The sequence below is a fragment of the Homo sapiens genome, chromosome 11 (genome assembly GCF_000001405.40).
Source record: "Homo sapiens chromosome 11, GRCh38.p14 Primary Assembly".
Classification (NCBI taxonomy): Eukaryota; Metazoa; Chordata; class Mammalia; order Primates; family Hominidae; genus Homo; species Homo sapiens.
Window position 1 is genome coordinate 34,750,629 of NC_000011.10, and position 12,570 is coordinate 34,763,198.

The 12,570-nt window shown below is 39.7% G+C and overlaps 1 long non-coding RNA gene across 1 annotated transcript in view; it reads left to right on the forward strand.

Moving 5' to 3' along the window:
- LOC102723568 (uncharacterized) overlaps nt 1–12,570 on the forward strand; it is a 185,086-nt gene that overhangs the window by 58,035 nt on the left and 114,481 nt on the right. The window contains exon 6 of the long non-coding RNA XR_007062652.1: nt 3,830–3,979. This is a non-coding gene — a long non-coding RNA (uncharacterized LOC102723568). The remainder of the gene's footprint in view (nt 1–3,829; nt 3,980–12,570) is intronic.

The window sequence follows — 12,570 nt, forward strand, 5'->3', positions numbered from 1 at the left end:
GGAATAAAGAAATATAGAAGAAAGGAATCTAGGAAAGAATGAAAAAGGTAGACAAAATAAGGAGAATGATACCATTTAATGGGGGAAAATTCTCTTTGCAAAATAGGCAAAAGGAATAGGTTCTGAAAGAGAAGAAATTTTTTTTGTTTCTTTTGCTACATTCTTTTCTATCTATCTTTGTTCCAAAACTTCACTATATCTGTAAGCGAACTCTTTTCTCTTCATGTTTCCACTTAATACTAGGAGCCAAAGTGTCTGTGGTGCTTTTCCCAACTTTGTAGGTAGCCAAGATAGTCTAGCTATGCTCTTGTATTAGCTCCAAGCCTTAGACTTTTCCCTCACATAAATCTAAACTGGAACTCTGGGTCTTTGTTTATCAGCAGCCTCCATAAGACATTAGGAGAAGGGAAGACCACTTTCTTCTCCTCACTTTCCTTTCTTTTTGGCTCCTTGGAAGCAAAGGCTCTTTGAGAAGAGACCTTGGAGGCAAGGTGGTATAAGTGGAAGGAGTATGAATTTGTAATCAGAGGGGTAAATATCTAAATTCCACACTGGGTTGTGAAAAAGTTAAAAAGCATCTGGCACATTTTAGACATTTGATAACTCTTGATTCCCTTGTTGACAACTCATCTCTCCTTACTGAATATTGTGGGTCCTCATCTTATAAACAACAAATTTATTTCTTAATCTTGTGCCTGAGCAATGAATGTGCAGACAGTGAAAAATCTGGTCCTGTTATGAAGAAAAATTCAATCAAGGTATCAGAATTTAAACAAATGCCTTCCATTTAGTGCTGCCTCTAAGGAGTATGACCTGATACAGAAAGAAATCAATCCAAGTGTTGTAGAGTCCCAGGAAAACCCTAGAGAAGTGTTTCCAGACCCATCGCAGGCAACAGAGCTGTGGCCGGCCGGTGTGAATAGTGGGCAATGGAGTTAGGACTTGGTGAGTTGTTCTTCTGTTGCCACCAACAATTGTGCAGCATCTGATGTCCTTTTGTCCTGAGCAGGTCAGCATTTGCTCAAAGAGAACTGTTCTAGGACTCCCAGCTTCTTCTCTCATGGAGTTCACCACTCTGTACCCTACATTCCCACCACCCCAACCAAAGTGCACTTGCCAGATTATACAAGGCTATTGCACACACTCAGGCCTTTGTGCATCCTGCTGTCTCTGCATGCTGTTTCCTTCTTCAGCACCTTGATTTGATGAACATCTACTCATCTGCCATGACCTGAGTGTAGCCTCAGCTCTTCCGTGTAGGCTTTCCTGACTGCTCTCTGGAAGAACCCACTATGCCCTTCTTTGGCCCCTAATGTATCCTCAACAGACTTCTATCATATCCCCTGTGCCTCCTTCCATTCACCTGGCAATTTTTGGAACTTAAGGACAATGCCTGATTATTTTATTTAATTTTATTTTATTTTTGAGATGGAGTCTTGCTCTGCTGGGGTTGGAGCGCAGTGGTGCAATCTTGGCTCACTGCAACCTCCACCTCCCAGGTTCCAGCGATTCTTCTGCCTCAGCCTCACAAGTAGCTGGGATTATAGGCACGTGCCACCAAGCCCTTTTTGTTTTATTGGTAGAGTCGGGGTTTCACCATGTTGGCCAGGCTGGTCTTGAACTCCTGACCTCAGGTGATCCACCCACCTTGGCCTCCCAAAGTGCTGAGATTACAGGCATAAACCACCACGCCTGGCCAATGTCTGATTCATTTATGTATCCCTGGTCCCTAGTGTTGTGTCAGGCATATAGAGGGGCTCAAAAATTGCTTGTTGAATGTACAAATGAATGAATGAAGTGAAAAACAGGGGTAAAGAAACTTTTAGATAATCAACTTAAGTATCTAAAAGAGCAAGAGGTCAGTTTTAGCATTCTGAGCTATTTTACCTTTGTCATAGTTAAAAACGTATTTAAACTCTCTGTTAATGAATAACCAGCATTTTCACCTAGCAATAGTACTTGGCATATGACACTATGAATATGCAAGTTCAAGACCAGATGTGCTTTTTCGATAAATGGAACAAAAATATAAATTTTTAAAATTATGTGGGAGTCCATTATACTCATAGGGAAGAGGGAGGGTGGCAGCAAGGAAGAACGGAGTAAAAGATGAGAGGAAAGAAAGGTACAATTTGGGGGCCAGAAACTTTGTTAGGAGCTTTCGCATACATCATCCATTTGCTCTTCACAGAGAGCCTGTGGAGGTGGGTATTATTATTATTCCATCTTACATACAAGAAAATTCTGGCCCAGAGAATTTTTATTACTGGTACACATTAAGATTAGAACCAAAGCATGTTTGCCTCCTGATTCCAGAGGTTGCAGAATTCTAGAAGTTGGCTTGTTAAGCAGTTCTAGATCACCTAGGCTTACTCCTGGAATTTGCAGATGAGAAAACTAAAGCACAGAGACATAGGAGTCTTGCTCCACATCATCCAGCAGTTGGTGGCAGAGCTTGGGATTCAACCTCAGGCCCCAGAAGTTCAACCTTATGAGGAGAAGATTGCAGGACAATGGTTCATGCACAGGTCAACACCTCCAAGGCCATCTCACTGCTATGTCTGGATCATGCCCAGAGTGGCTGGAGTGGCTAATGCCAGAGTTTTGGGACCAAAAAAATTGCAGAGATTTCAAAAATTGTAGAAATCATGCAACTTTGGGGGACTGATTCTGGGGAAAGAGTGAGAGAAAGAGTAGCCTGCATTCTTGACTGGTCCCGGTATTTCTTTTGATATTTTTAAGTAAGTAATTACACGCAGCCAGAGAACAGTATAGATTAAATACCATTTTAATTCATTATCCATCTCTATTTTTCACATTGGTGATAGTTGGTGAATTTTTAATGGTACATTAGAAGATTGTGCATTTATTCTGATGAACTTGACTTCCTTCACCATCTCCTATTGAGTAATAAATATTATGTTAAGAATTCATGAAAAACATTTCAGTTTTTTTCATCCTGCCTTCTGAAGATTTCTTGTTGGATTTCAGAGACATGCAAACTTGAATGAACTCACTTGGTAACAGGAGCGAATGCACAGTGAGAGCTCACTCTCTCCTAGGTGCTATTCCAAGTGCTTTACAGACATTATTTAATTTAGTGGTGGCAAGAACCCATGAACTACTTGTATTTCTTAAGTCAGTTTTATCAAGACATAATTTAAATGCAGTAAAATTCACTCTTTAGACGTACAAGATGATGAGTTTTTACAAATGTATATAGAGTCATATAGCCACACCACAACCAAAATATCAAATATTTCCATCACTCCACAATGTGCCCTTATGCACCTTTATATAGTCAATCCTGTCACTGCCCCCTACCCCACCCCCTTGCCATGAACCTCCAAATAACTACTGATCTGTTTTATGGCTGTTTCTAGAATGTCATAAATGGAATTGTATAGTATGTAGCCTTTTGTTCTGGCTTCTTCCACTCAGCCTAATGCTTTTGAGATTCATCCATGTTGTGAATTACTTACTTTCACAATCCCACTTTATATATGAGGAAACTAAATCCCAGGCTAGTTAAGTGACTCCTTCAAGCTGAAAAGTAATGGAGTCAGAACGCAAACCCAGCCAGACTGATTCTAGTGTCTGCACTTTTGTTCAACTCCCTACATCTCTGTACGTGCAGCAGGGCTCCTGGCCCAAGCCTACCCCTTGTCATAACATGCTGAATGGACTGGTCTTGGCTAAATGCTTCATTTGGATGTTTCCCACACTGTGCAATCATAATACTAATTTTACATGTGGATGTGAAATCCTTACATGTTGTGTAAACAATATGAGCTGCTGCTTATTTATTTTTTTTTTTTTCCATTTTCAGGATTGATCCAGAATATGTTCCAGCAAAAACTACAGCAGAGTAACTTTGACAAGAAAAATGTTCACTTGCTACCTAAGGAGAGTCTCTGTCTCCTGACCTCTGAATTTCGAAATCCTCAGCTCTGGCTGCCACGCAGTGGGAACCGAATGAGTATGTACTGAATGGCGAATCCTAGTTCAGTCACTTGACTAGCTGGGTGACCTTGAGCAAGTAACTTAGCTTCTTGAAGCCTCAGTCTCCTTATCTATAAAATGGGACTCAAAGGCTGAGTCGAGTATTAAATGAAATAATACACGTAAAGCACAGTGCCAAAAATCTGGTAATAACTCCATCAGTATAAGGCCACCTTATTTGCCTTCTTTCACAATTATCACCAGAATTGAATTAAAATTCAGATGTGATCATGTCTTGAAATGTAGAAAGAGTTATGAAAATGTAAGACTTACTAAGTTCACTTATCGAACATTTTTTGACCACCTACTATGTGCTATGCCTTGGACTAGGCTAGAGATACAACAGTAAACATCTTGACTAACGGAGATTATGCTGCTATCTTGAAATTTTGCCTGTTCCCAAAAGCCCCCAGCATATTAATTTTGTTAAATATATATTCCCTTATTATATATATAAAACATATATATCCTCATTTTATATATATATATATACATATAAATATGTGTCAACTACTGTGTTGAGAGCTCATTATGTATATGTTTCTTTATTTAACCCTCAAAATAATTCTGTGAGGCTCCAGAATTCCTTTTTCCAAGTGAGAAAATGAGGCTCAGAGCATTGAGTGAACTTGCAGGTAAATGATTGAGATGGAATTTGGAACCAAAGCCTAAGCTTTAAACTGCTTTATTCAGTGGCCTTTGGTTATCTCATATTCACTAGAAATTGGAAAGATCTGTCAGGAGGCCTGCCATGATGCAGAAGTCCTGGATGCCCTGCAAATGTCTATGTGAATGGTACCCCCAGACTGGTGCAGAGCACCTCACGGAGCCCTGGCTGCCAAGATGAAGGCAAGGGCTGTCTGTGGCAAACTCATCATCAAAAAGGATGTGCTTGACACATACTTGGTCCTCAACAAATAGTTGTCAAATTTTTTAAAATGAGGTTGGCTTTTGGCTGATTCAAGCACTCACCTAAGAGTTTATAGTCTGAAACAAAGACATCTACACTAGAGAGAAGGAAAAACACACAATCACTAATGAGAGGCAAGATCCTTCATACCGCTGAGCTCACCAGCCTATCATTTCTGCCTGTGCAAAGAGCTCGTGATGCTGCGTTTGAGATGAAGGGGAAAGTACAAAAATCATGAGACTTCCTCCTAGTCAAGAGAGGCTTTGTGGAGGAGGTATGCTTCCCAGAAGGCTGTGGGAGTGGAAACTGTGAGGTGCCAATGAAGCTAGAAAACTCTTTCAATGCAGAAAGTGCAGCGGAAGCTCGCGGTTACATAAACACAGTGGGAAGTAATATGGCAATTACAATCTGGCATTTAAAAAAGAAGAATCATGCCCTGGTACAGTGGCATGCGCCTGTAGTCCCAGCTACTTGGGAGGCCAAGGCAGGAAGATTGCTTGAGCCCAGGAGTTCAAGGCCAGCTTGGGCAACATAGTGAGACCCTATCTATCTCTAAAAAAATAAAGATTTCTTTATAAAGAGGAGGCCTCTCCTTTTTAAGAGGAAGAACAAAGGAGAGTCACTCTGCTATTCCTCAAATGACCTCTTCATTCCACTCTGCACCAGTAAACCTCCCTTTTATGTTTATTCATTTATTACTTAAGTCAGGGTCTTCTGAACACTCTTAGTTAAAGGTATACTCTGTCTTAGTAAACTTTCTAGTGTCTTAAGCCAAAAAAAATTCTCACAGTTATATTAAGTAGTTAGTTTCATATAACTTCATAACATTTATGTGCTAACAAATTAATAGATACTAAAAATAACACATATACATGGAAAAATATTTAATTATTAAATAGCTACAATTGCAAATCAGGTATGTGTGCCTTTTGTGTACAAGCAACTTCTCAAATCTTGGAATCAGATTGGGTGCCCTATTCCACAATGACTCTTACAAAACTGAGAGTATCATACTACTTGAGCTACTCCAAATACAGGGGAACAACAAGGATGGAAAAAATTGTCTTGACTTAACATCAGGAGGCAGGTGGTTGCAGGCATAAGTTGAGCACCTCCATCATGCCAAGATGATTCTCTTGATCTTTTCCTCTTGTTTACAAGATGACTGTCATACTCCCAAATACCAAGTGCATACATAAGGCAGGAAGGAGTGGGGGAAAGGTAGTGCCAGACTTATGTGATCTCTTTTAATGAGAAAGAAAAAAGCTGTTCAGAGACTGCCTTCCATCCAAGCAGATGTCCAGTTATAGTCATGCACTGCATAACAATGTTTCAGTCAGCAATGAACCACGTATACAACAATGTTCCATAAGATTATAATACTGTATTTGTACTGTACTTTTTCTATGCTTAGAAACACAAATATTATACTTACCATGGTGTTAGAATTGCCTACAGTACTCAGTACAGCAACATGTTTTCCAAGTTTGTAGCCTAGGAACAATAGGATGTACCATATAGCCTGGGTGTGTAGTGGGCTATGCCATCTATGTCTGTGTAAGCTCACTTTATGATGTTTGCACAATGATGCATTTCTCAGAATGTATCCCTGTTGTTAAGCAATGCATGAATGTATATCTCATGGGCCAGGAACTGTGTCATATGTGAATTCTTGGCTGCAAGGAAGGCTGAGCTAGTGAACATTTAGCTGGGCAAAAAGTCCTCCAAGTCAGAGTTCAGTTGCAAGGAAGGAGAAGGTGGATACTGGGTAAATAAATAGTGTATGCTATAGAGTCACGTTTACTTGCACAAAGATGAATCAGACACTATTAATTCCTTCTCTCAATAACCTCAAGTCTAGCCTGAAGACAAATAAGAACTTCTTGGAAAAGTAATTACTATGTGATAGAATAAACTGGCATATATTGCTGTGGGAAGGTACTTAATTTGCTTGGGGGTGGGGGCGAACATAGAGAGAGAGAGTTCTAGGAAGGAACGGACCACATTGCATTCTGGCAGAGGAACAGCTAGCACAGAGGTTCAGAGATGTGAAGATGTGCTATTCAAACAGTTGAATAGCACGTGAACCAGTGTCTAGAGCACAGGATGGGTAGTAGGAGAATGGGGATGGCAGGAAATGATACCAAATAGGTCATGGAGTCAGCTAGGGCTCTATGTGCCCACCAGATCTTTGGGGAATAGCATAGGAAGGGCAGTGGACATCGACTACGTTTTTTTCCCTTTGGCCCTCCATCTTTCTTTGGGGAAATTCTCTTTCACACTCTACAAGACTGAATCACATGGCCCAACTTTCCATTTTCTTTGTGCGGACCCCTGACTCACGCAGAACTAATCAGAGTCCTTTACAGAAATTGAGATGGTTACTGAAAAAGAGACCCTGCCCTAAGGAAGACATCCCTGGAGCTGCCAGTGGCTGTATTTTCCTCCTTCAGAGAGAGCTTGCCTGAAAAAAGGAGGAAAAGAAAGGTGGGTTGGGGAGGAGAGAGTAGGGAAGAGAACTAGTGAAATAATTCTAACATCCTGGATCCATCTTACCTAAAATCATCTCTACTCCTTAAGCCAGTAACATTTCTGTATTTAGTTACACTAGTTTAAGTTGGCTCCCTATCAGTCACATTCGGAAGATTCTTGGCAGAGGGGTTAGAATCTGGAAGCAGGATGATCAATCAGTAGCTCTCACAGCATTCCCTTCTTCTACCTGGCTATGGGCTAGGCCTGCCCTGGCTTCTGGGGAGAGGAGAGAGATGAGTTTTCCACCGTACCCACCTCAATCTTCATGCACAGTCTCTGAGAGAGGTGCTGATTCTCATCCAGCTGGCTGGATGGCACCCACTTCCTGTCCTGTAATTATCGGCTGCCTTCCCAGGCTGTTATCTGACTCCACTATCAGCCAGCGACATCCAGGAACACATTGGACTTCTAGGAAAAAAGATGTTTTACAAGAGCAAACGCATGTGGCCAGAGCTGATGGTAACCCTAGCTGCACAATGAAGCCCTGGACGTCATTCATGGCCTCTGGTATTCAGGAGTCTGGCATGAGCTCCAGAAGTCAAGATAACCAGCATTTGTGAGGTGGTAACTCAAATCCTTCGAGACCGTAGGGCTGACAGAGTCTTTGCTTTGGAAGAGAATCATCTCCAGGTGTTAGTGTTTCTTACATCTCAGTCCAGCTGTGTGAGCCTGGGCAAATTGCTTCACCTCTCTAAGATTCCAACTCTCAATTTTAAATAGGCAAGATCACCATGATTGCTACCATGTATTGAGTGCTTACAATGTACCAGGCATGCTAAGTGCTGTACATGTAGTCACCTTCCTATCAGGCGATATATCTGCAGGGAGTGTGCCCAGTACAGTGGCTGGCATATTATGAAACTTTAATCTGGGTTTGTTATTGTTATTACCCGTGTTACCATGAAGAACATAAACTTCAATCCGGTCCTTTAATGGGTGAGAAAACTGGTACTGAGAAGCAGTGAATAACTTGCCTAAAATCATGCAGCATAATCAGTGACACAGCAAGATCCAGAACCCAAGCCTCATCCAAATTAAGGGACATACACAAAGCAGCAAAGATTATAAGGTATCTACAAATTATTTAACTTAGGATATGCATAACTTCTATGAAGACAACTTTAACATTCTAATGGAAAACATAAAAATGATCTGAATAAATGGAAATATTCCATGTTCTTGAATGGGCAACCTTGTATCTTAATGGTAATAGTTATTCCCATGTTAATCTATAAATTAAAGGCTGTCAGATCCCAGCTGGGCTTTTTGAAGAACTTGAAACATGTATTCCAAAATGTTGGAGGAAGAGAGATCCATATTAATTAAGTCAAGTTTAGAAAAGAAGAAGGAGAGAATTGCCTTACCCCTCATTGAGAAGAATTACAAACTGGTAGTAATGAAAAATAGTTTGATATTGGTACCAAAGCAGAGAAACAGATTCATGAAACAGGGGGGAGAGGCAAGAGTCAGACCCATAGGTACATGGAGCCTAATATATGGCATAAGGGAAGATTGCAATTTTATAAGGAACAGCCAGATTGTTTAGAGATGGAGTAGGGGAAAGTGATTCACCATGTGGAGAAAATTAGAACAGTATCCCCATCTAAGGAGACTCCAGAAAAATTAAAGATCTAAATATGAAAGATAAAACATCAAGTTATTAGGGAAAAAATCTTTGCAATCTAGGACCAGGAAAAGAGTTTATGAACAAAAGTATGAACTTCTTTTTAACAAAGGGCATTACAGACAAAGTTAATAGGCAGCTGATAGGCAAGATAAAGATTCTTTCAAAATCTAAAATGGAAAAGGCATAAATGATATCCTTGTGATTCTACCGTAAGAAAAGAGAAGTTCCTACAGGAACATAATTTCTTATGAACAATTACACAAGAAATTTAAAAGTTTATAGAGAAGTAAAGAAATGCTCAAAATCATTAATAGTCAATAAATGAAAGTTAAAGCAATAAGATATCGCTTTAAACTGAATAGACTGAAAAAATTAGAAAGCTGTGTAATACAAGTGTTTGTTGGGTAGGAACCTACATGCACAGATACTGATATACACTGATGAGAGTGCAAACTGATGTAACATTCTAAAGAAAATATGGATTATTTAATGAAATTTAGAATGTGCATTCCCAGTACCATGCTGTTTTGGTTACTGTAGCCTTGTAGTATAGTTTGAAGTCAGGTAGCGTGATGACTCCAGCTTTGTTCTTTTGGCTTAGGATTGACTTGGCGATGCGGGCTCTTTTTTGGTTCCATATGAACTTTAAAGTAGTTTTTTCCAATTCTGTGAAGAAAGTCATTGGTAGCTTGATGGGGATGGCATTGAATCTGTAAATTACCTTGGGCAGTATGGCCATTTTCACAATATTGATTCTTCCTACCCATGAGCATGGAATATTCTTCCATTTGTTTGTATCCTCTTTTATTTCCTTGAGCAGTGGTTTGTAGTTCTCCTTGAAGAGGTCCTTCACATCCCTTGTAAATTGGATTCCTAGGTATTTTATTCTCTTTGAAGCAATTGTGAATGGGAGTTCACTCATGATTTGGCTCTCTGTCTGTTGTTGGTGTATAAGAATGCTTGTGATTTTTGTACATTGATTTTGTATCCTGAGACTTTGCTGAAGTTGCTTATCAGCTTAAGGAGATTTTGGGCTGAGACAATGGGGTTTTCTAGATATACAGTCATGTCGTCTGCAAACAGGGACAATTTGACTTCCTCTTTTCCTAATTGAATACCCTTTATTTCCTTCTCCTGCCTAATTGCCCTGGCCAGAACTTCCAACACTATGTTGAATAGGAGTGGTGAGAGAGGGCATCCCTGTCTTGTGCCAGTTTTCAAAGGGAATGCTTCCAGTTTTTGCCCATTCAGTATGATATTGGCTGTGGGTTTGTCATAGATAGCTCTTATTATTTTGAAATACGTCCCATCAATACCTAATTTATTGAGAGTTTTTAGCATGAAGGGTTGTTGAATTTTGTCAAAGGCCTTTTCTGCATCTATTGAGATAATCATGTGGTTTTTATCTTTGGTTCTGTTTATATGCTGGATTACATTTATTGATTTGCATATATTGAACCAACCTTGCATCCCAGGGATGAAGCCCACTTGATCATGGTGAATAAGCTTTTTGATGTGCTGCTGGATTAAGTTTGCCAGTATTTTATTGAGGATTTTTGCATTGATGTTCATCAAGGATATTGGTCTAAAATTCTCTTTTTTGGTTGTGTCTCTGCCCGGCTTTGGTATCAGGATGATGCTGGCCTCATAAAATGAGTTAGGGAGGATTCCCTCTTTTTCTATTGATTGGAATAGTTTCAGAAGGAATGGTACCAATTCTTCCTTGTACCTCTGGTAGAATTCGGCTGTGAATCCATCTAGTATTGGACTCTTTTTGATTGGTAAGCTATTGATTATTGCCACAATTTCAGAGCCTGTTATTGGTCTATTCAGAGATTCAACTTCTTCCTGGTTTAGTTTTGGGAGGGTGTATGTGTCGAGGAATTTATCCATTTCTTCTAGATTTTCTAGTTTATTTGCATAGAGGTGTTTGTAGTATTCTCTGATGGTGGTTTGTATTTCTGTGGGATTGGTGGTGATATCCCCTTTATCATTTTTTATTGCGTCTATTTGATTCTTCTCTCTTTTCTTCTTTATTAATCTTGCTAGCAGTCTATCAATTTTGTTGATCCTTTCAAAAAACCAGCTCCTGGATTCATTAATTTTTTGAAGGGTTTTTTGTGTCTCTATTTCCTTCAGTTCTGCTCTGATTTTAGTTATTTCTTGCCTTGTGCTAGCTTTTGAATGTGTTTGCTCTTGCTTTTCTAGTTCTTTTAATTGTGATGTTAGGGTGTCAATTTTGGATCTTTCCTGCTTTCTCTTGTGGGCATTTAGTGCTATAAATTTCCCTCTACACACTGCTTTGAATGTGTCCCAGAGATTCTGGTATGTTGTGACTTTGTTCTCATTGGTTTCAAAGAACATCTTTATTTCTGCCTTCATTTCGTTATGTACCCAGTAGTCATTCAGGAGCAGGTTGTTCAGTTTCCGTGTAGTTGAGCAGTTTTGAGTGAGTTTCTTAATCCTGAGTTCTAGTTTGATTGCACTGTGGTCTGAGAGACAGTTTGTTATAATTTCTGTTCTTTTACATTTGCTGAGGAGAGCTTTACTTCCAACGATGTGGTCAATTTTGGAATAGGTGTGGTGTGGTGCTGAAAAAAATGTATATTCTGTTGATTTGGGGTGGAGAGTTCTGTAGATGTCTATTAGGTCTGCTTGGTGCAGAGCCGAGTTCAATTCCTGGGTATCCTTGTTAACTTTCTGTTTTGTTGATCTGTCTATATGTTGACAGTGGGGTGCTATAGGCTCCCATTATTATTGTGTGGGAGTCTAAGTCTCTTTCTAGGTCACTCAGGACTTGCCTTATGAAACTGGGTGCTCCTGTATTGGGTGCATATATATTTAGGATAGTTAGTCCTTCTTGTTGAATTGATCCCTTTACCATTATGTAATGGCCTTCTTTGTCTCTTTTGATCTTTGCTGGTTTAAAGTCTGTTTTATCAGAGACTAGGATTGCAACCCCTGCCTTTCTTTGTTTTCCATTTGCTTGGTAGATCTTCCTCCATCCTTTTATTTTGAGCCTATGTGTGTCTCTGCACGTGAGATGGGTTTCCTGAATACAGCACACTGATGGGTCTTGACTCTTTATCCAATTTGCCAGTCTGTGTCTTTTAATTGGAGCATTTAGTCCATTTACATTTAAAGTTAATATTGTTATGTGTGAATTTGATCCTGTCATTTTGATGTTAGCTGGTTATTTTGCTCATTAGTTGATGCAGTTTCTTCCTAGCCTCGATGGTCTTTACAATTTGGCATGATTTTGCAGTGGCTGGTACCGGTTGTTCCTTTCCATGTTTAGTGCTTCCTTCAGGAGCTCTTTTAGGGCAGGCCTGGTGGTGACAAAATCTCTCAGCATTTGCTTGTCTGTAAAGTATTTTATTTCTCCTTCACTTATGAAGCTTAGTTTGGCTGGATATGAAATTCTGGGTTGAAAATTCTTTTCTTTAAGAATGTTGAATATTGGCCCCCACTCTCTTCTGGCTTGTACAGTTTCTGCTGA